Here is a 23,568-nt window from a genome sequence, read left to right as displayed (position 1 = left end):
CAGGGCTGTTTTTAAAAATGTCTAAAGCACTTTAATCCCGGGATTTGAATATATCCTTGGTTGTTTTTGGTGGAGGAGTTCCTGGAATATTTTGCTTGGTGAGAAAAGGTGCTGTAATGGTCTTCTCTGAACTCCTTACGACCATTTGTGTTTTGGAGGGGTGAATCTCCCTTACATCTTTTACACATGAGGTAACATATGACCAAACGTTTTATTTACAGCAGTGACGTTCTTATGGCTGAGGAGAATTTACACTTATTGAAAAAATATTTTTAGAAGGGAACAAAAAAGTCCTAAGTAACTGTCATTTTACATATTAACTGGGAAACCGGCTAATCAAATAAAACTGGCTGAGTGTCTGAAACTCTATCCCAGTGAAATATGTGGCTGTGAATATAATTAACCATCTGTCTAGTGAGCAATTTAAATTTGGGCTGGTACATTTTTATTACAGTGTCTAATTTCTGGAAGACATACATTTTACCCAGCAGTAACAACAAAAACGTATTTGCTTACTAGGTCAAAAATTTACTGTGTGGTGGTGGTATTTCCCTTTCTTCCTCCATGTCTTTCATAGTCCCCACACTGCGTAACCTGGGAGGTCAAAAATGAGCTTCTTGTTTTTGCAAATAGCGTATTTACAATAGAGGAACTGAAACTAGCCCTGGTGGCTAGTGATTAGACATTTTTGTCTCTTAGAAATACTTTCCAATATTTCACCTCCCCGAAAATCTAGATAGATTGCATGCATGCTAGTTAAAAAAATATAATTTTTTGGTGCACATGGGGTAGGGTGATTGAACAAAATTTGTAAGACTTGAAATTTCTCTATTTACTTTCTCTTATTCTGATGAATTCTCTACCTGGCTGTCCCAACTGGCCCCCCCAGACATAAACTCATACAAAAACACATGCTTTTTTCCTTTTAGACAGTTTTTAAGGTTAACAGCATTCAGATCTGTGATTTTAACAATATACTGATAAACTGCTTTTTTTTGTAAATCGTAAGTGTAAAATACCATGACATAAAAATACATTGTACATATATTTAAAGTTTTCCCTATGGTGTGATTTTAGCCAGAAATTTATTACTAGGAAAAAAGAGGGATAGAGTTTGAGTAGAGATGAAATGGCTCCGGGAAGATTAGATTTGAGAGACCTTCACCAAATAGCTATTGTTAACATAACATAATTTAAATGAACCACGGATTGATTGTGCAGTAAGCTAGAGAAAGTCATTTAAAGGAAAATATTTTTAAAGCAAATATTTGCCTAAATAACAGCTCTGATAAATTGGTAACAATTATGTAAGTACATGGCAGAATTTGACATATGTCAAGTCTGTTAAATAAATCAACCTGTTCAGTGAATAAATCTTTGATGCATCAGTGCTTTTTCACACACACACACACACACACACACACACACACCCATAACACCCTGTTGCCAAAGTCAAACAACTGCAGTACTGCCACTTTCTGTTTTACTTCAAGTCTGTCCCTTTTCCCTCTTTTTCTTTTTTCCACAATCTTCTGGTTACCTGTAAGCTACCTGGTGAGCAGAGAGAACTAAAGGTGAGGTGGTGTTGCCTGTGTTTAGGAGGTGGGAGAAGATGAGAAAAGTGCTAAGTGTTGGAGCACACAAAGATGGGTTCATGGATCCTGGACACGGTCACTATGGAGGTCCTCGTCTCACGGACCACCATAGTGTATTTGCATAGGAGAAGGACTGGCCTATCCAGAGAAGCATTGGTTGCAGTTTCTCTGTTCCTAAATCCAGTTCTAGTAAATAATATTTTTTCTTCTGTATATCCCTTAGTAAGGGGAGAAAAATAGATTCTAAATGGCATTCGACTGTTACATTATCTTTAATCTTTTATCTGATGGCACATATATAAGTGTTCCCGGTAGGAGTAAGCAAAAGGAGAAAAGGGCCAAAGTGGATGAAAGGGAAGGGGAATGATTGACTAAGGAGTAGGTCATTTGGCTTCCTTGTTTTTCCCATCTTAAGAGATTTTTGGTTTGGACATTATTCATTTTTTTTTTCTTTTACTTCCTCTGAAAAGTTGGCCACCAGCTCCCTAATGGACAGTTTCTCCACCAGAGCACCTTTTCAAACCCAAGGTCATAGGGTCAGACACAAAGCACTTGTTACGTTCTCTATGGCACTTCTCCAGGGCTGCTTGAAAACAAAACAAAGAATATATACACCTACTACGTACCCATAAGAATTAGAAAAACAAAAACAAAAACAAAGAGCACCAGACAAGTTTGCATCACTTGGAGCTACCTTTAAGTTCACACCTTTTCTCTTGCCCAGAAAATTTCTTTTTAGGCAGAGGTGAACATTCGTGTCTTCTCAAACAACAAGTGGCTCTGTTTGTAAGTACATCACAACCTTGGGGAAATCTGGTCTGGGGTGTCGTCAGTTGGGAAAGTGGAGGGTTGGGGAAAGCTGCCTTTTAGTGATGATAGAGTCTTTTATGGACCAGCTACAGGTAGGCGTGAGGACCTTCATTGTCTCTGTTCCCTTCAGTCCCTCATTGCCCACAGTGATTCACAGGCCTCTGCTAGGGAACGTGCTCATTTTGGTCTTTTTCTGCAGGTAAGCACTATGATCTGATTTCTTTCCCTACCATCTTCTCTGGTGGAAAAGAAGCTGAAGTCTTCATGACCAACTATTAATACTATGTACACAATTATTACTTTTCCAAAGAGCACTTCAATATGTCATCTTATTTATCCCCAGTGTGATAATTTTGATGTAAACAATTATCTACTGTTTTCTCTAGCACCCTCAAGCCCCATTAAAAAAATTTTCAGCTTCTCACCCTCAGTAGCCCATTTTAAGTGTTATACCACTAGCTTAAACAAGAAGTTCCTCCTGATGTTTACTCTGAAGGGGTTTAGAGGTTTGAGACCAAGATTAATTATACCTTGGGCCTGAGTGCTAAAGTAGTGCCAAGTCATCCTCTGTCAAGAACAGGTGTAAAGACTTAAACGTTAGACCTAAAACCATAAAAACCCTAGAAGAAAACCTAGGCATTACCATTCAGGACATAGGCATGGGCAAGGACTTCATGTCTAAAACACCAAAAGCAATGGCAACAAAAAACAAAATTGACAAATGGGATCTAATTCAACTAAAGAGCTTCTGCACAGCCAAAGAAACTACCATCAGAGTGAACAGGCAACCTACAAAATGGGAGAAAATTTTTGCAACCTACTCATCTGACAAAGGGCTAATATCCAGAATCTACAATGAACTCAAACAAATTTACAAGAAAAAAACAAACAACCCCATCAAAAAGTGGGCAAAGGATATGAACAGACACTTCTCAAAAGAAGACATTTATGCAGCCAGAAGACACATGAAAAACTGCTCATCATCACTGGCCATCAGAGAAATGCAAATGAAAACCACAATGAGATACCATGTCACACCAGTTAGAATGGCAATCATTAAAAAGTCAGGAAACAACAGGTGCTGGAGAGGATGTGGAGAAATAGGAACACTTTTACACTGTTGCTGGGACTGTAAACTAGTTCAACCCTTGTGGAAGTCAGTGTGGCGATTCCTCAGGGATCTAGAACTAGAAATACCATTTGACCCAGCCATCCCATTACTGGGTATATACCCAAAAGACTATAAATCATGCTGCTATAAAGACACATGCACACATATGTTTATTGCAGCACTATTCACAATAGCAAAGACTTGGAACCAACCCAAACGTCCAACAATGATAGACTGGATTAAGAAAATGTGGCACATATACACCATGGAATACTATGCAGCTATAAAAAATGATGAGTTCATGTCCTTTGTAGGGACATGGATGAAATTGGAAATCATCATTCTCAGTAAACTATCACAAGGACAAAAAACCAAACACCGCGTGTTCTCACTCATAGGTGGGAATTGAACAATGAGAACACATGGACACAGGAAGGGGAACATCACACTCTGGGGACTGTTGTGGGGTTGGGGGAGCGAGGAAGGATAGCATTAGGAGATATACCTAATGCTAAATGATGAGTTAATGGGTGCAGCACACCAGCATGGCACATGTATACGTATGTAACAAACCTGCACATTGTGCACATGTACCCTAAAACTGAAAGTATAATAATAATAAAAAAAAAGAACAGGTGTAGCAATTCATTTTATTTAGGGGAAGTTAAAACATTTCCTCTATGGAGGACTATAAGTAGAGTGACCATATGTTGTGGTTTATGCCTGTTGCTCCAGCATACTTATTTTACCCTCAAAAATGTCCCAGTTTGGAAAAGAATTTTGTGATCACCTTAGTATAAGCCACCTTTGAAAGAAACCATGATTCTCAATTTGGGGAGGTGATTATATTTGCAAAACTTGAGGGTATAATGAGCTTTGGAGACATTATAGTCCCCTAACCCAGCTCAACCTATCTTTTTCCTAGTTAAGAGATCTTTCTGGAGAAGAACCCCTGAAATGATTCAGGGTTTCGGCTCAACAGAATTGGATTATTGGCTCCAAAGGCATCTCTCCTAAATGCCTGTTTGTATTTGCACATACACATGCACATAAAGAGGTGATGTCTGCATGCTGGAAAATGGCTGCTCTAACTTTCATGAAAGACTGGTAAGAATTAATAAGTTTAAAGTTTATCAGGAGAAACTTAGGTTTAGAAGCAACATCCTGACCATGGTATTTGTGAGATACAAGGGCATAGCACCAAGAGAAGTGTTAATTCTTTTCAGAATAGGTTTGAGAAGTGCACAGGCAACTTTCTATTTCAAATAGTTTGTATGTGGTCATTACTCTTATGTATATAGTTTTTCAATTTGCCTTTTCCATAATGGACACGATGATCTTTTCAACTACCTCTCATTCCTCCCAGTATCCATGATTGGCTTTCATCGATCTAGGGCAGGAGTTAAAAGAAACTATGGCCCACAGGCCAAATCTGGCCTGCCATGGAAAAAGAAATAATGCAGACAAGAAAAAAAATGGAGCCATTTAGAGTTGCTTCTGCAAACATTTTCAGGCTTCCTCTTCTTAATTGAGCTTCATTTAGTTCAATGTTAGGATGAGTCCACATTTCATGATTATATTTCAGCTCATATCTAGTGTTTGGAGATTGTCCAGAGCCTGGTAGAGTGGCAGGGGGTGACCCGAAAAGTGAAATCCACAAATGGATTTTTTTGTTTGAGTCAAAATGTCAATAGCTATTTTTTCTTTCCTGCCTAGGTGAGTAATCCAAATTTTGTTGTGCCACTAAATTCTTTATGCCTTCCTCCCCAATATTTGTCATGTTATTCCAGACATGCATATGATTTATTAACCCAGAGACTAGATCTCAGCAAATTGCTTGAATAGGAACATGCTTTGTCTTTAGTTACTAAATAACTGGAACACATCCTGAAGATGTGCTGTTTTACTAAGTAGGGAAGTAGAAAAAGTGGGTCATCACCATCTAGCCAATAGTCCCTAACCTTGGCATGAACCCCTGTGAAAATTCAGTGAATGCCAAGGATACTCTCTTCAGAAAAGTGCATATTTACACATGTAACACTTGCATACATTTTCAGGAAGTCCAGCCATATATTGTGAGTTTAAACCTCCGTGCTGGCCTTTCCCTAGCTGTTACAGAATTCTTGTTGTATGGCTGTCATGGTCATGGTAGCTTGAAATGGAAGCCATTAAATGTCTCTCTCAAAAAACATGTTATTAGTATATTTATGGGCCACATCCCTCAGCTACCGTACAAGCATTTTTCTGATTAGCCTTCACAGACATTTTTTTATTATGAAGAAGAGCCACTTAGCACTCACTTTTACATTACCATTCTCACCAAAAACGTCAAGACTAGTTTCCCCAAATTATTGACTTGTCAACTCTCTGATTCTTCAAAATGCCTGTTCAGCTTTCACACACCCCACACACAAGTTCATCATTAATATATAAAATATATTCCATAAAAGCTCACTCACATTTCATCTGCCTCTACCTCTCTCTGTTTCATCTGTTTCTCTCACTCTATATATTTCTCTTAGCCAAGGTTCTGACAAATGTGGGGAACTCTTTCTAGCACCAATCATTAGGTATGGTGATGGAGTCAGAGAGGGAGATGGTGTCTAGACACCTTCATGGGGACCTTGAGACACATGAGCTTTTTGGAGTATTAGACATCTTGGAGAGAGTTAATGTATTTCATCCTGGATATCTAACATCATATATTAAAGGCAAAGTTCCTTAAGCTCTGCAAACACAAATATATGCCACATCTGCGCCTTGCAGTTGGGATGGTAGTAATAGGTGGTATATTAGTCTGTTCTCATACTGCTATAAAGAAATAACTGAAACTAGGTAATTTACAAAGAAAAGAGGTTTAATTGGCTCATGGTCCCACAGGCTGTACAAGAAGCATGGCTGGGTAGGCTTCAGGAAACTTTCAATTATGGCAGAAGTGGAAGCAGGCATGTCTTACATGGCCAGAGCAGGAGGAAGAGACCAAAGGAGGTGGTGCTACACACTTTTAAACAACCAGAGCTCATGAGAACTCACTCACTATCATGAGAACAGCAAGGGGGAAATCTGCCCCCCATGACCCAACTACCTCCCACCAGGCCTGTCCTCCAACATTGGGGATTACAATTCAACATGGGATTTGGGCAGGGACACAAATCCAAACCATATCAAGTGGTATTCAGATTCATGAATAAATGTTTATTGCTTGTTGTCTTGGTAGTTTAGAATACTGTAGAGCATGTGGGTTAATAGAACCCTAAGACTGGAGGGGTCCATTAATGATAATTACTGATTCAATTCAGCAAACACTTATTGAACATCTACTCTGTGCTAAGCCCTGAGATATTGGGGACAGATAAAAGAATAAAATGAATTTTTCTGTCTCATAGGGAATTAGCTTTGCTCCTGGCTGGGTCTTTTTACCATCTGCATGAATTTACCCCCCTATTTTCCTAATTCAATGCATTCTTCTATTGTTTCTATGTTCTACCCCTTGGTAAATGTCTTAGTCTGTTTCCTGTTGCTTTTAATGGAATGCCTGAAACTGAGTAATTTATAAAGAAAAGGAATTTATTTCTTAAAGTTATGGAGGCTGAAAAGTTCAAGGTAGAGGGGCTGCATCTGGTGAGGGCCTTCTTGCTGGTGAATTCTCTGTAGGGTCCTGAAGCAGTACCATGGCATCACATGGCAAGGGGGCTGAATGTGCTAGCTCAGGTCTCTCTCTTCCTCTTCTTATAAAGCTACCAGTCCCACTCCCGTGATAACCCATTTATCCATTAACCTATTAATCCATTAATCCATGAATGGATCAATCCATTCACCTTTTAAAGGCTCCACCTCTCAATACTGCCACATCAGGGATTAAATTTCAAAATGAGTTTTGGAGGAGACAAATCAAACCTCAGGGAGTTTCTTGGCAAATAGGTATCTCTAGCTGGGTTGAGACAAGATTTCCAGCCCCTATGGCAAAAATGCTTCTTTTCTTATCCTTGCATTAGTTTAGCAGGCCCCATTTAATAGGGAATAATGTGATTGTTTCCCTGTGATTCTGAGGCAACATTTCTATCACTGCTATCATTGGTGATGTGGAATTGCAAATATCATTAGCCGTGATGTATTGACTACTGCCTTAAAATTATAGTATGGAGTTGTTGATTCTGACTAATGAATTGAATGTACTCTGCAAAAAGCCAGCTGTCCATCTTTGAGTGAGTTGATTTTTAACCCCTATTTGGTAGCTTTAGCAGTTTTCTACTATGGTTGCTGTAACAAATTTCCAAAATCTTAGTGGTTTAAAACAACAAATTTATATTTCTACAGTTTTGAAGGTCAGAGATTGTCTGAACTAGGCACTGACTAGGCTATAATCAAGGTGTAGGCAGGGCTATATTTATTTCTGGGGTCTCTGGGTGGAGACTCCATTTTCTTGCTTTTCTGGCTTCTAGGGGCTGCTGGAATTTTTTAGCTCATGGTCCCCTTCCATATTCAAGCCAGAGATGGGAGATTGTTTCCTCACACTGCATCACTTAAATCTTGCTTCCATCATTACATTTCCTTTTCTGACTCTCACTCTTCTACCTCCCTCTTCTGTTTATAATGACCCCTCTACTTATATTTGGTCTATCTGGATGGATAATCTGGGATAATATTTCCATCCCAAGATTTGTTGATTTTCAACCATAATTCTATCTGCAATTTTAATTCCTCTTGTGCCATGTAACCTAACATATTCACAGGTTCTAGGAGTAGGATGTGAACATCTTTGAAGGCCTTTATTCTGCCTACCACAGTGACTTGACTTTTTTGTTGTTACTTTTTATTTTGGAATAATTATAGAATCACTGGAAGTTGCAAGGACAGAGAGGCCCTGTGTATCCTTCTCCCAATGCCCCAATGGTTACATTTTGCATAATAGTTCTGTGTAGTTCTGTATCACTTTATCACATGTGTATATTTGTGTTTTTTATTTATTTTTAGTTTTGTAGAAACATGGTTTTACTGTGTTGCCCAGGCTGATCTTGAACTCCTGGACTCAAGAAATCCTCCTGCCTTGGCCTCCCAAATTGCTTGGATTACAGGTGTAAGCCAGCGTGCCCAGCCAGCACACATGTATATTTGTGTATCCACCATCACAATCAAGATAAAATATTATTTCATCACCGCTAGAGATCTCTTTTGTGCTACACCTTTATAGTCTTTGTAATTCACCCCCACTCCTTTGCCATATCAAACTTGCAATCACCAATATATTTTCCATATCTAAAGTTTTATCATTTCAAGATTTTTATATAAATGGAATCATTGAGTATGTGACTTTTGGGGGTTGGCTTTTTTCACTCAGCGTAATGCCCTGAGATCTATTCCAGTTGTTTTGGGCATTAACAATTCATTTCTTTTTACTGTTGAACAGTATTACATGGTATTAGTGTATCACAATTTATTTAATCATTCACCTGTAGGGAGAAATTTTGGTTGTCTGGAGTTTTTGGTTATTACAAATAAAACTGCTATGAACATTAGCATACAGGTGCTTTTTGTTTGGTTGGTTGGTTTTGTTTGTTTGTTTGTTTGAGTGGGGCGGAGACTTTCTCTGTTGCCCAGGCTGGAGTGCAGTGGCACAATCTCGGCCCACTGCAATCTCCACCTCCCAGGTTCAAGTAGTTCTCCTACCTCAGCCTCCCGAGTAGCTGGGACTACAGGCGCATGCCACCATGCCTGGTCAATTTTTCTAATTTTTGTATTTTTAGTAGGGATAGGTTTCACCATGTTGGCCAGGCTGGTCTTAAACTCCTGACCTCAAGTGATCCACCTGCCTTAGCCTCTGATTACAGAGTTGGAATTACAGTGCTGGGATTACAGGCATGAGCCACTGCACCTGGCCTAGCATTTTTGTGTGAACATAAGTTTTCATTTCTCTGGGAAAAGCTCCCAGGAGTGCAATTGCTGCATTGTATGGTAAATGTATGTTTTAGTTTTTTAAACTAAAAACTGATTTTGCAGTTTTTTCAGAAACTGAAAATCTATTTTCCAAAGTGTCTGTAAGTACATAACTTATTATAGTCTACTAGTATCAACATTTTACCTGTTTGAGTAAATTATAGAAACCTTACCCCTCTTTAAGTTCCTTTAACCTTCCCCACTTATAATTGCCTTACTTTCTCTACATATATCTAGAACTACATTAGACAATGCTACAATTTTTGCTTCAACCCTCAAACATAATTGAGAAACCCAATGGGAGAAGCAAAGTCAATTATATTTACCCTTTTACTCTTTCTGTTGTTGTTTCTTTCTGAGGTTTCTAGATTTCTTCTTTTACATTTTTTTTCTGTTAGAGATCTTCCTTTACTTATTCTTTTAATGCAGGTTTGCTAGCAACAAATTATCTTAGTTTTCCTTCTTCTGAGAATTTATTGATTTCCCATTCATTCCTGAAGGATATTTTCACCTGATGTAGAAATCCTGGTTGACAGGTTGTTGTTGTTTCCTGAAAGCATTTGAAAAATGTGCCATTTCTTTCTGGTCTTCATGGGTTCTGATGAGAAATCTGCTTTCATTTGAATTGTTTTACACTTGTAGTTAGGGTGTCATTTCTCTCTTGCTGCTTTTAAGGTTTTTTTTTTTTTCTTTAGTCTTTAGAAGTTTGACTATGATGTGCCTTGGCAAAATTTCTTTGGGTTCATCTGGTTTGGTATATGCTAAGCTTCTTATGTCTGAAGGTTTATGTCTTTTGCCAAGTTTTGGAAGTTTTCAAGTATTATTCCTTCAAATAATGTTTCTGTCCTGCCTTCTATTCTTCATGGTTTCTTCTGATGAGAGAAAACTTAGATCTTGTTTTTGTAGTTCTACAGGTCCCCGAGGCCTGTTCATTTTTCTCGTCTATTTTTTCTCTGTTGTTCAGACTAGATAGTTTCTATCATTATATTTTCAAGTTAAGTGATTCTTTTCTCCATCTTCTTCATTCTGTTGTAGAGACCATACATTGAGTTTTTATGTTTTGATTATTATATTTATGAGACTTTCTATTTTTCGTTTGTTACAAGAGTGTTTCTAATTACTTATTGAAACATTTTTGTGATGGCTGGTTTAAAATCTTTGTCAGATAATTCTAATATCTCTTTCATCCTGGTTTTGCCACCTATCAATTGCCTTTTTTCATTCAGTTTGAGATCTTTCTGGTCATTGGTATGATAAGTGATTTTTATAGAAATATATACGTTTTGTGGTATGTCATGAGACTTTGGATCTTATTTAAACTTTCTGTTTTATCTGGCTTTCTCTGGCACTGCTCTAGCTCCAGGACCTCCAATTCCTGGGGAAGGGAGTTGCTGTCTTGTTACTGCCAGATGGTAGTAGAAGTCTGCTTGCTTGTTGACAGTTGGAGGGCAGGACTTCTCATTATTGCTTGTTAGGGGTTGGAATTCAGCCACATTTCAAGTGCTTGGTAGCCATGTATGGTTAGTGGCTACCATATTGGATAACATATATGTAGAGCATTTCTGTCACTGCTCTAGGAAGACTGAGGTTGGGGGAGGGAGCAGTAAAAGAGCTTGGCACTACAGGAATTGGGGTTTGGGAAAACTGGCACAGATGGAATAAGACAAGGATCTAGTTATTGTATCTGAGGTCCATGGCTAGGGTTTGGTTCCAAAACCTGAGGTGCTGTGAGTTCTATCTAGAGAAATATGGGCACAGAGAACTCATCTGGTTAATATGGATCCAGTAGGGCAGAGTTAGTATCCATAGTATTAACTAAGTTTTGTCCTCTCAGCCATTGTAAAAGACATGGTGTGGCATGCTGCAGATCCTAGTACCACTCTATTTGAGTAGAGGGAAAGTCTTCCCTATTAGATGGCAGTTAGTTTGCTTATTTGTAGCAACATACTTGACCTCCATGACTGAGGTAACCATTGATTGAGGAAACGTTAACAGAAAAGAGTGAGTTGTGAAAAGGGTATTCATTTAGTTTATAGGATCTAGGGTTTCTTTGGCATCTTGGTGGCCTTAATGTTCTAATCCTTGAGACTTCCAGCATGCTTAGCCAGGTGGGGAGCATTTATGTAAGAACTCTGTCCTTCACTGAGCTCTGTGTTGACTTGTTGGCACTTTTTGTCCAAGTCCCAAAGAGTTAGTGGACCCTGTTACACAGCTTCTTTGTACACTGAAATAACTGTTGCCTTCTCAAGTCTCTCTTTGCTTAGATTAGTGGGGGTGTACTTAATGTAGATTCAGTGTTTTCAATCTCCCCTTGGGGCAGTTCGTTATATTTTCCCTTACTGGCTCTATGTGTGTATACATCCTAATGTGCTTGTATTTATGGACTGCCTGTGTACTGTATCTCTTGGCAAGGGAAAAGGAATACCTAGTGTCTATTGAATATGTATTGTTTGTATAGTATACAGGTCACATGACCTTTTCCCTTAGCAAGACCTGTATGTGCAAAGCTGTGGCTTTGACATGTTAAGATATTTCATAACACAGTCAAATCCACTTGGCTGAATAGGTGAAAGAAAAGGGAATTGAGCCAGGGCTATAGTGGGATTTTTCACATCTATGTCGTTTGACTTAAAATGAAACAAAAATACACACTCATTTGAGAAAGAAGCAGTTTCAGAGTTAGGCTGTAAAGAGAAAATAAACATGCTTTATAACCCAAAGCCAAGGTGTTGGTTTTAAAACCCTAGACTATGGCTCACCCAGATCCTTCCAGTATGTGTATATGTGGGGAGGAGGTGAGTGTTGCTGGTCTGCTACTCAGAGATATGGAGATGGTATCATGGGAGCAAAATCCCAATTTGTCACTTTGTCTTTTAAGAAGGCTCCAAATATGCCACTTACTTTTTTTTCTTTGAGAAGGAGTCTTGCTCTGTGTAGTGGCATGATCTCAGCTCACTGCAACCTCCACTTCCCGGGTTCAAGTGATTCTCCTGCCTCAGCCTCCTGAGTAGCTGGGATTACAGGCACCCGCCACAACCCCTGGCTAATTTTTGTATTTTTAGTAGAGACAGGGTTTCACCATGTTGTCAAGGCTGGTCTCAAACTCCTGACTTCAGGTGATCTTCCCGCCTTGGCCTCCCAAAGTGCTGGGATTACAGGTGTGAGCCACCACATCCGGCTGCCACTTACTTTTGAAGACAGTGGTCACTAGTTGTGCTGAGGGGCCAAAGGGTCAGGATACTCTTATACAAATCTAAGAAGAGAACCTGGAATCACCTTTTCTTGCCATTGATCTTACCATTTTCCTATAAGCCACAGTATTAGTTTGTTTTCACGCTGCTGATAAAGACATACCTGGGAAGAAAAAGAGGTTTAATTAGACTTACAATTCCACATGGCTGGGGAGGCCTCAGAATCATGGTGGGAGGTGAAAGGCACTACTTACATGGTTGCAGCAAGGGAGAATGAGGGAGATGCAAAAGCAGAAACCCTTGATAAAACCGTCAGATCTTGCAAGACTTATTCACTACCACCACAACAGTATGGGGGAAACTGCCCCCGTGATTCAAATTATCTCTGACAAGGTCCCTCCCACAGCATGAGGGAATGATGGGAATACTATTCAAGATGAGATTTGGGTGGGCACACAGAGCCAAACCATAACATTCCATCCCTGGCCCCTCCAAATCTTATGTACTCACATTTCAAAACCAAACACGCCTTCCCAACAGTCTCCCAAAGTCTTAACTCATTTCAGTATTAACCCAAAAGTGCACAGTCCAAAGCCTCATCTAAGACAAGGCAAGTCCCTTCCATCTATGAGCCTGTAAAGTCAAAAGCAAGCTAGTTACTTCCCAGATACAATGGGGGTACAGGTATTGGGTAAATACATCTGTCCAAATGGGAGAAATTGGCCAAAACAAAGGGGTTACAGGGCCCATGCAAGTCCAAAATCCAGCATGGCAGTCAAATTCTAAAGCTGCAAAATGATCTCCTTTGACTCCATATCTCATGTCCAGGTCACGCTGATGCAAGAGGTAGGTTCCCATAGTCTTGGGCAGCTCCACCTCTGTGGCTTTGCAGGGTATGGCACCCCTGCTGGCTGCTTTCACAGGCTGGCACTGAGTGTGGATTTTCCTGGCACATGGTGCAAGCTTTCAGTGGATCTACCATTCTGGGTCTGGAGGATGGTGGGCCTCTTCTCACAGCTCCACTAGGCAGTGCCCCAGTAGGGACTCTGTGTGGGGGCTCTAACCCCACATTTTTCTTCTGCACTGCCCTAGCAGAGGTTCTCCGTGAGGGCTCCACCCCTGCAGCAAACTTTTGCCTGGGCATCCAGCATTTCCATGCATCTTCTGAAATCTAGGTGGAGGTTCCCAAACCTCAATTCTTGACACCTGTGCACCCACAGGCTCAACACCACGTGGAAGCTGCCAAGGTTTGGGGCTTGTACCCTCTGAAACCATGGGCCGAGCTGTACGTTGGCCCCTTTTAGCAACAGCTGGAGCAGCTGAGACACAAGGCACCAAATTCCTAGGCTGCACACAGCATGGAGACCTTGGGCCTATCCCACAAAACCATTTTTTCCTCTTAGGCTCCTGTGTCTATGATGGGAGAGGCTGCCATGAAGACCTGTGATATGCCCTGGAGACATTTTCCCCATTGTCTTGGGGATTAACATGTGGCTCCTTGTTACTTATGCAAATTTCTGCAGCCAGCTTGAATTTCTCTTCAAAAAGTGGGTTTTTCTTTTTTACTGCATCATCAGGCTACAAATTATCTGAACGTTTATGCTCTGTTTCCCTTATAAAAGGGAATGCTTTTAACAGCACCCAAGTCACCTTTTGAATGCCTTGCTGCTTAGAAATTTATTCCACCAGATACCCTAAATCATTTTGCTCAAGTTCAAAGTTCCACAAATCTCTAGGGCAGGGGCAAAATGCCACCAGTCTCTTTGCTAAAACATAACAAGGGTCACCTTTGCTCCAGTTCCTAACAAGTTCCTCATCTCCATCTGAGACCACCTCAGCCTGGACCTTATTGTTCATATCACTGTCAGCATTTTTGTCAAAGCCATTCAACAAGTCTCTAGGAGGTTCCAAACTTTCCCACATTTTCCTTTTTCTGAGCCCTCCAAACTGTGCCAACCTCTGCCTGATACCCAGTTCCAAAGTCACTTCCACATTTTCAGGTATCTTTTCAGCAATGCCCCACTCTGCTGGTACCAATTTACTGTATTGGTCCATTTTCATGCTGCTGATAAAGACATACCCGAGAATGGGAAGAAAAAGAAGTTTAATTGGACTTACAGTTCCACATGGCTGGGGAGGCCTCAGAATCATGGCGGGAGGTGAAAGGCACTTCTTAAATGGTGGTGGCAAGAGAAAATGAGGGAGATGCAAAAGTGGAGACCCCTGATAAAACCATTGGATCTCATGAAACTTATTCACTACCACAACAACGGTATGGGGGAAACTGCCCCCATGATTCAAATTATCTCCCACTGAGTCCCTCCCACAACATGTGGGAATTATGGGAGTATAATTCAAGATGAGATTTGGTGGGGACACAGAGCCAAACCATATCAGCCACTGTGGGGTGGGTGGTTGTGTGTGTGTGTGTGTGCACGTGCATGTGCACATTTTTCTCCCTAATTCAGTAATGCTTTGTTAGCTATACTTACATGGATTTAGCACCTGAATGAACAGAAAAACCCATTTGTTTATTGTCGAAATAGTGGGGATGCCATGACATTGCTGACTGCCATGATTTGTGATTCATTAAGGCCAGGATACTTCTAGACAATCACTGAAAGTTGAAAAGCAGGTAAGTGAATTAATCTCTTCCCTTTGATTTTCACCTTTAATATTATAACCTTAGATATGACTTCAATATCTTCCAGCACTGAGTAGAATTGGTTAAGGGAAGGCCAGAGTGGATGTAGTTAACACCAGGAATGGAATTCCTTTTGTTTTCTGAAAATTCAGTTTATAGTTTATTAGACTGAAGAATCCACAGGCCTGCCTCAGACAACCAGGCCATATACTAGACAAGAGCACTCTCAGATTACACTTTGAAATGAAAGCCTATTTTGGCATAATATGCACTGAAAGGAAAAGTGTGCTCCTAGGTATGCTCTTTACTTTGCCTTTTGGACTGTCCTCTTGGGTTTCCTCAGCCTTTCTCTGATCTGTATGGCTCTAGGCCCCACTCCCAATAACCCTCTAGGAGGCTCTGTTCCATGTCATCTACTTATGGCACTGAAATACCAGGTGTCACATGGTATAAGGTAGTAGTGACCACAAGGGGCCCAGAGGAGGATGTTTGCCGAGGGAAGCAGCCTGTTTCCAGATCCTCAGGTAGAGGGTGTGCTCAAGCAGCTGAGACAGCCTGAGGTGGGAGAAGGAGCAGTGGATGATAGGTCAGAGCTGCCATTTCCATTGGTTGTTGAGATGGCCAGCTGAGGGAGACAGTTGTTTGTTCAGTGGTCCTGAGGAAGTAAAATCATATACTGGTGTTTTTTGATTCAGGCGACAGATTGATGTTAAGGGACCATAGGCATTTAGGCTGCCAATAATAATACCTGATCATCCTATAGCTCCTTCTAAAGGACTCAAAGGACTCCTATATTTTATTTCATTTGGCCTCACAAACATCTTCATGGACTTAGGAAAGGTAAATATTGATAGTCATGTAGGACAAGCTTTTCTCTCTCTCTGGGCCTCAGAATTTTCAAATTGTGAAATGGAGGCTTGGTCTAGAGATGATGATCTCTAAGGTCGTTTCCCACAGTAACAGTTTCTATGGTGGCAACATCTTCCAGGTGGAGGAATTAAGTCTCAGACACTTTAAAGTGAGTTGGACACAACTACACTCTCTATCAGGTACAGAGTGATGATTACAGGCCCAGGCCATGATCCCTTCCCTTAGCTTGCCCTATTAGTGGTCTCTTTGAACAGTGAGGTAAGGGGCGGGGGGGGGGGTGCTCTTGCTTCTGAACACACAAGGGCTTTACTTATCTGTTTCATTTAACACTCTCCCCTCACCTGACCACCTTCCCAAACTACCTCCTGTCACTCATCAGCAGGGCCTTCAACTTTTCCCTTGATGTTCCTCGGGATTCATATCTTGTTTGACTGTAGCTGTTTTCCTGGTGTATTGTGTGGCTAGATGCAAAGTCATTGCTACCCTTAGAGAGTAAAGTCTGGAACCAGCACTTCAGTTACATCAGGAAAGAGAGGCTGTGCCTCCTGGGTGTGGCAGGGGGTCAAAGTGAGAAGAGACATTCAAAAACATCATATTATAAGGTGCCCTGAAAAAGCAAGGAGGGTCTGTAGATTAGGGCTGGGGAAAAAGGACTGGACAAAGGTATGATGGGGGAAATCAGACAGTGAGTTGATGAAAGCAAATACATTCAATGATCAATTAATATGCAGCAAAGAGGCTAGGATGCCTGAGATTTCTTTGGAGTTGGAGGATAAACATGGCATTTATGACTGTGACAGGGATTTATCTTGGGAGAGGGCAGTAGGGGAAAAATGAAAAGCTTTATTTTCAGCAAGTTCAGCTTTTGTAGTAAGATATTTAGCTTAAGAAATGCAAGCTAAGTACTGTGAGGGAATAAATTCAGAGAACCATATTCCCCATATGATTCCTGGAAACCAGTAGGAATTTGGCTCAAGAAGGGACGGCAGAAGGTGATTTGTGGTGTTATAACAGCCGCCTTGGAAGCCAAGATGGAAAATTTGTCCCTGAAAGGCTAGGCAGTTGGAGGAGACTCACTGGAAATTTCTGTCCGGAGAAAATAAATGAACCAGAGAAGAGCTTAAAAACACATGGTGGAGGGTGAAGTCTGGGACACCCAGGAACCCATATCTTGTAATAGGTCCACTTGTTAAATTCCTGGCTTATGGTCTAGAACAGGATTTTGTTCATTTCCTTGGAACAAAAAGGTCCCCAGGCACCCAGAGCTTCTATCTTATCCCAGTCCACAGCCTCTTACCCGTTCTTTCATTTCTCTTTTCTTTTCCTTTTTTTTTTTTTAAGAGATGGGGTCTTGCTCTGTCACCCAAGCTGGAGTACAATGGCACAAACACAGTTTACTGCAGCCTTGAATTCCTGGGCTCAAGGGATCCTCCTGCCTCAGCCTCCCAAGTAGCTGGCATTACAGGCGTGTGCCACCATGCCTGGCTAATTTAAAAAAAAAATTGTGTAGAGACAGAGTCTCGTCATCTTGCCCAGGCTGGTCTTAAACTCCTAGGCTCAAACAATCCTTCCACGTCAGCCTCCCAAAGTGCTGGGATTACAGGCATGAGCCACCCTGCCCAGCCTTTTTTTTCCTATTTCTCTCATTTTAAGAATAAATTCATTTATCATTTATCAAAAGAATCCATGAAAATTTCACAAATATTGAAAAATAGGGAAAAGAAATAGTTCAACGTTTTGTTTTTAGAAATTATTTGTGTCTTTATTTTTGTTTTTGTTTTTTGTTTTGTTTTGTTTTTGAGACAGATGGAGTCTCGCTCTGTTGCCCAGGCTGGAGTGCAGTGGTGCAGTCTGGGCTCATTGCAGCCTCCAACTCCTGAGTTCAAGCAATTCTCATTCCTCAACCTCCCAAGTAGCTGGGATTACAGGCACCCGCCATGATGCCTGGCAAATCTTTGTATTTTTAGCAGAGACGGGGTTCTACCATGTTGGCCAGGCTGGTCTCGAACTCCTGATCTCAAGTGATCTGACCGCTTTGGTCTCCCAAAGTGCTAAGATTACAGGTGTGAGCCACTGTGCCCGACGTTTGTCTTTATTTTGAATAATTATAAAAGTATTGAAAAGACTAGGAATAATATAAGAAATACTTGGATCTCTACTTGGAGAAATAAAACATTACAGACAAGTTAAATTATATCCCCTATTTTCAGTCACATTCCTCTCCATTCATTTTCAGAAGCAAGCACTAAGATAAGCTTGGTATGTATTCTTCCATTTTGTTTTATACTTTTGCATGAAAGTATGTCTCTCCTCTCCCCTCTTCCCATAAATAATATATAGAGCTTGTCTGTGTGTTTTTAAAATTTATGTAAGTAATACCTTAATGTATGTGTCATTCTGCAACAAGTTTTTTTGTTTTGTTTTGTTTTGTTTTTACCCAATATCTTGTTTTGGAATTTATTCTATTCTCTTTTTTACATTCCCCTTTTCTACTCAAACTGTACCCTGGAGCTGATGACATGTACATTACTTTTTCATATTTTTATGATAAAAATAATATGTAACCACATTACAGGAAAGTTGGAAAATCCAACCAATTGATGGCTCTTAGGACCAGAGAGCTCAGTGTCCTACTGTAGACTTGATTTGCAAAGGTTCTAGGCAGCTGGGCTAACCTAGTGGTTCTGCCTGTAAAATACTGAAGAGCAAAATTGGAAGTCTCTAGGGACACTTCCTTGCCTGTCTGTTACCCCATTCCATGAAGTAGTAAAACAGAGGCCCAGAGAAGGAAAATGACTTAACAAGGGCACACATTCATTGAATATTGTACTCGAGATTTCTGGATCCCTGTCTTGTACTTGAAACGTTTCCAAGGAAAAAAAGAGCGGTGGGGAGAGAGAGAGAGGGAGAGAGGGAAAGGAAACCTAGAACTGCAATTTTTCATCGTAAAAATTATCCATTTTAATAAAGCATGGGAAATACAGAAGAGTAAGAAAAATGAAGATATCAAGAATTGTCCATTTTCCTATTTTGAACTTCTGATCTTTTTTCTTGTACAACTTTTGTTTCTTTGATTGTACCCTATCTTGCTTTTTTCCACTTAACTTTATAATGTCATAATGCACATCTTTTTCAAAAAGCAGACTTCTACACTGAAATCTTGACAGTAAATATTTTTAAGGCACATATTTGCTATTTAGCCATTTAAAATGGTATAGGCAGGGAATTGTGTAGAGAGGAAAACAATGGCGTGGGATATTTTCCAGCAAGTTTGTTCCTGTCCTTTGGCTAGATCTTTTTCTTCTAAAACAAAACAACAATAACAATAAGATCTAGGTAGACATTTCTAGGATTCCTGCTACTAAAGTATTCATTCAGAGAAGTTTCATTACTCTCTCAAATGGCCTAGGGTGTGACCAAGGGTCACTCTAATATACTCCCCTCCACTTACAAGGCAAGGGCAAGTGTTGCCCTTGGGGCCCAAAGGGAGCCAATTCTGGAGCTACCTGGGTCATGGAAGTTGACCCTGAGGAAAAGACTGTGGTAGTTTCCCCAGTCCATGGAGTGAGGAGTGAGGTGGGGTGCTCAATTTTTCCAGAGCCTGAGCACAAAGACAGTGACAGTCATTAAAACTTCTTCAGCACTTACTATGAGAGGCAAGACATCCATTCCCAACAAAGCCACACCACTTCACACACACACACACACACACACACACACACACACACACACGATTAGAATTGTTGCCTACAGTTTTGGTTGCATTGTTTAATTGTAATAGTGCAAAAGTGCATTTAACTATGAAGGCTTGCTGGGAGAAAGGAAAGTGACGGTTTATTATTCTAGTCAGTTCAACATGTTTGAAACAGTGAAGCAATGAGAGATTAACCTGCTCGCTCAAAGTCACACAGCAAAAAAGTAACGATGCTGAGATTAACAAATAAAAAATGAAAACACCCTTATTCTTGGTCTTGGGTCTTGAAAGCTGGGCCTTAGCCTGCTGAAGCTCACTGTACTTCTGCTTTAATCAGTTTAATTCATTGCTAGCTTGCCCTTGCCACCTTTGATTCTCTTTGCATTGGCCAAATACCAATTTGCAGTAGTTGTTCTGAAGTGCTTGCCAGTTTCAATTTTTCAATTCCAGGCTCTATTCTTTCTCACAGGGCTAGAAAGCCACAAGTCACACTAGTGGCCAGCTGTATCTATGACCCAAACTTGCTCAGGTCTGTGTGTGTGTGTGTGTGTGTGTGTGTGTGTGTGTGTGTGTGTGTGTGTGTGTGTGTGTGTATGCCTGAGAATCAGTGAGGACTCCAGGACTGGGAATGTTCAAGGTTTTGAATTGAAATAATTGAACAAATTCCTCTATAAAGAAACCTTTTCCCCTGCCAAATGATTTTCTTCTTAATGATTTCTGCAGTTGATTAACGTTTAGAAATAGGCAGTGAAGCCTCAGTGAACGTGTATTTGCTAGGCCATAGGGTGCTCTTGCTTCCAGGTTGTAGAAACCAATGTTGAAACAAGTCCCAGCTGTGTTTACCTCCAGATTCAAGTTTCAATACAGGGGAGCTCCTTTCCACATCTATTTTCCCTCCTTCCTGCAAAGGCAGCTGAGCTAAAGCTGCCCTTAATAAGGAGTGGCCTTAGGCACTGCAGTAGCATTTACCCTTCAAACTGGGCAGACAACTTCTCTGTGGGGAGTCTGAGCCTGCCACACCTATCACACAGGCTTTGGGAAATGTGAAGTGGCACTTACTGCAATCTAACCTCCAGAGAACTTGCCTGCATGCTGGCCAGTTGGGCTATGGGAAACCTTGCCATTTTTTGCCTATCCAAAGGCCCACACCTAAACAGGTCTGAATGCAAATGCATGGGTGAAAGGGGTAAGCGAGGGGCACTACAGAAAGCTCACAACTGTCCTCAGACCCAGGAGGATGGCAGGCCAAGAAGTCCATTATTCATTTGTTTCCAGTGTCTCAGGTAAGTGAAGATTGCAGTCCTCACTGGAAAAGACAAGAGGGGCAAGGAGATACATGAGCCCAGAAGAGCTACAATGGACCTCATTTACAGATAAGCTAGATAGGCACTTCCCAGTCTTTTTGTACCCTCCCCAATCCTTCTGTTACCTTTTTTTGTAAGACCCAACTTTGAAGAGTTGTTTTTTCTCCTGAAAACTGCACTTATTAAATAATAGCTTTTCTGTGTTCCTATACATATGCATACATAAAACTGTAATATATATACATATATATGTATATATATACACACACATAAACATACATGCATCAGAGCTGATCAGCACAGAGAGCCAATGTTATTCTGCTTGGTTGCTATAATTCCAGGGAAAGGTAAAAACATTTAGCTAACTGGGGCAGCTGTATGAAAAAACTCTCCATTTTCTTTAAAGTTCTGAAATACTGAAAATGGTTTGAGGATCCCATTTATTACCTTTTTTTTGTTAAGATGACCAGGGTCCTCAGGTTGGAAACTACTGATCTAGTTAACTCCTCTTCCCTATTTTTGAGTCAGAATGTAAGGCAAATTTTGGCCAAATAGAAAGTTAGTCTTTGAGCTGGGATTAAAACTCATCCCACTGGGAGCCAGTTTGCATCCCTTCACTTGGTTTCCCCTACGACATTTCTGAGCTATAAATCTGACTCATCCATGATTAATTTTAAAAAATGTCCTGAATGATACTTTTGGCAGTGGTCTTTAATATATATTAAAGGCACATATGGTGGTTTGGAACTGCCTTGAGATTTGAGACAGGACTTCAATTTCTGGTAGAGGTATTAAAGGAGCTCTCTCCATTTATTTGGAGCTGTAAGTCATTTGTAGATAAAATGTACTTAGGGAGTGCCTACTAAGTGTGAGATGCTATCATAGCTGGGAGAAGGGAAGGGGTAGGAGTAACAATGGAGGAGTGGGTTAGTAGAACAGCCCCCATTTCAGGAAAACTATATTTTATTAGGGAGATATATGTGCACAGGACTATTTCTATGGCAAGGCATAAAACAGCGCATGCCTCAGTAGTAAATTGCACATGTAACACTTTGTCCAGCAGAATTCTCTGGAACTGAAAGATGTATAATGGAACCAAGTAAACCAGCAACTGTACCATTTCTAACTGTGAGGAGAAAACAAGTGGTGAAAGTTGTGCCTCACAGGTGCTTTGTGCAACAAATTACAACAAAATTTAGAAGCACTACCATCCTGGCTATTTATATGTTTATCATTAAACCTCACATTGACATCTTAGCTGCAATTGTTTTCTACCTCCAGGAAACAACCTAGGAGATCATCTAAACCATCTTTATCTGAAACATTAATTACTTTTGTTAGATTATCTTGCCTAGAAATATCCATAGACAGGCAGCTACCTCTAAAGGCAATCCATGCCAGAAAGCCCATTCTTTATATTTTCTTTTACTATTTTTATTGTGGTAAAATACACATAAAATTTACCATCTTAACCACTTTTAAGTGTACAGTTGTGTGGAATTAAATTCATTCACACTGTTATGCAACCATCACCACCATCCATCTCCAGAATTCTTTTCATCTTGTGATACTGAAACTCTGTACCCATTAAACAACAGCTCCCTATTTTCCCTTCTCCCCAGCCCCTGGCAGCCAGCATTCTATTTTCTATCCCTATGGATTTGATGACTCTAAATACCTCATGTAAATGGAATCATACAGTATTTGTCTTTTTGTAACTGGCTTATGTTCATCACCATAATGTTCTTCAGTTTCATCCATGTTGTAGCATGTGTCAGAATTTACTTCTTTTTAGGCTGAATAATATTCTATTGTGCATATATACCACATTTTGTTTATCCATTCATCCATCAATGGATACTTGATTTCCTTTCACCTTTTGGCTATTGTGAATGACAATGGGTGTACAAATATCTCTTCAAGACCCTGCCTTCAATAATTTTGAGTATATACCCAGAAGTGGGATTGTTGGGTCATATGGTGACTATTTTTAATCTTGTGAAGAATTTCCACACTGCTTTCCATTGTGGTTACACCATTTTACCTTCCCACCAGTAGTACACAAGGGTTTCCATTTTTTCAGATCCTCACCAACATTTGTTGTTTTCTGTTTTTCCTTTTTCTTTTTCTTTTTCTTTTTTTTTTTTTTTTTGAGACGGAGTCTCACTCTGTTGCCAGGCTGGAGTGCAGTGGCATGATCTTGGCCCACTGCAACCTCCACCTCCTGGGTTGAAGCGATTCCCCTGCCTCAGCCTCCCGAGTAGCTGGGACTACAGGCATGCACCACCACACCCGTCTAATTTTTTGTATTTTAGTAGAGACGGGATTTTCACCATGTTGTCCAGGCTGGTCTTGATCTCCTGACCTCGTGATCCGCCTGCCTCACCCTCCCAAAGTGCTGGGATTACAGGCGTG

The 23,568-nt window shown here is 40.5% G+C and overlaps 1 protein-coding gene across 1 annotated transcript in view, besides 1 other annotated feature; it reads left to right on the top strand.

The window, feature by feature from the left end:
* NEXMIF (neurite extension and migration factor) overlaps positions 1 to 23,568 on the top strand; it is a 192,597-nt gene that overhangs the window by 1,685 nt on the left and 167,344 nt on the right. The gene's annotated exons all lie outside the window — the stretch shown is intronic.
* Positions 683 to 742: an enhancer, noted in NCBI's record as "active region_29769". NCBI's record gives its function as "activates an Ori minimal core promoter by ATAC-STARR-seq in GM12878 lymphoblastoid cells {active_cell/tissue: GM12878}" and the evidence as "EXISTENCE:reporter gene assay evidence [ECO:0000049][PMID:35858748]".

This window comes from Homo sapiens, chromosome X, assembly GCF_000001405.40.
Source record: "Homo sapiens chromosome X, GRCh38.p14 Primary Assembly".
Classification (NCBI taxonomy): domain Eukaryota; kingdom Metazoa; phylum Chordata; class Mammalia; order Primates; family Hominidae; genus Homo; species Homo sapiens.
This window is presented reverse-complemented; position numbering and strand designations above follow the sequence as displayed.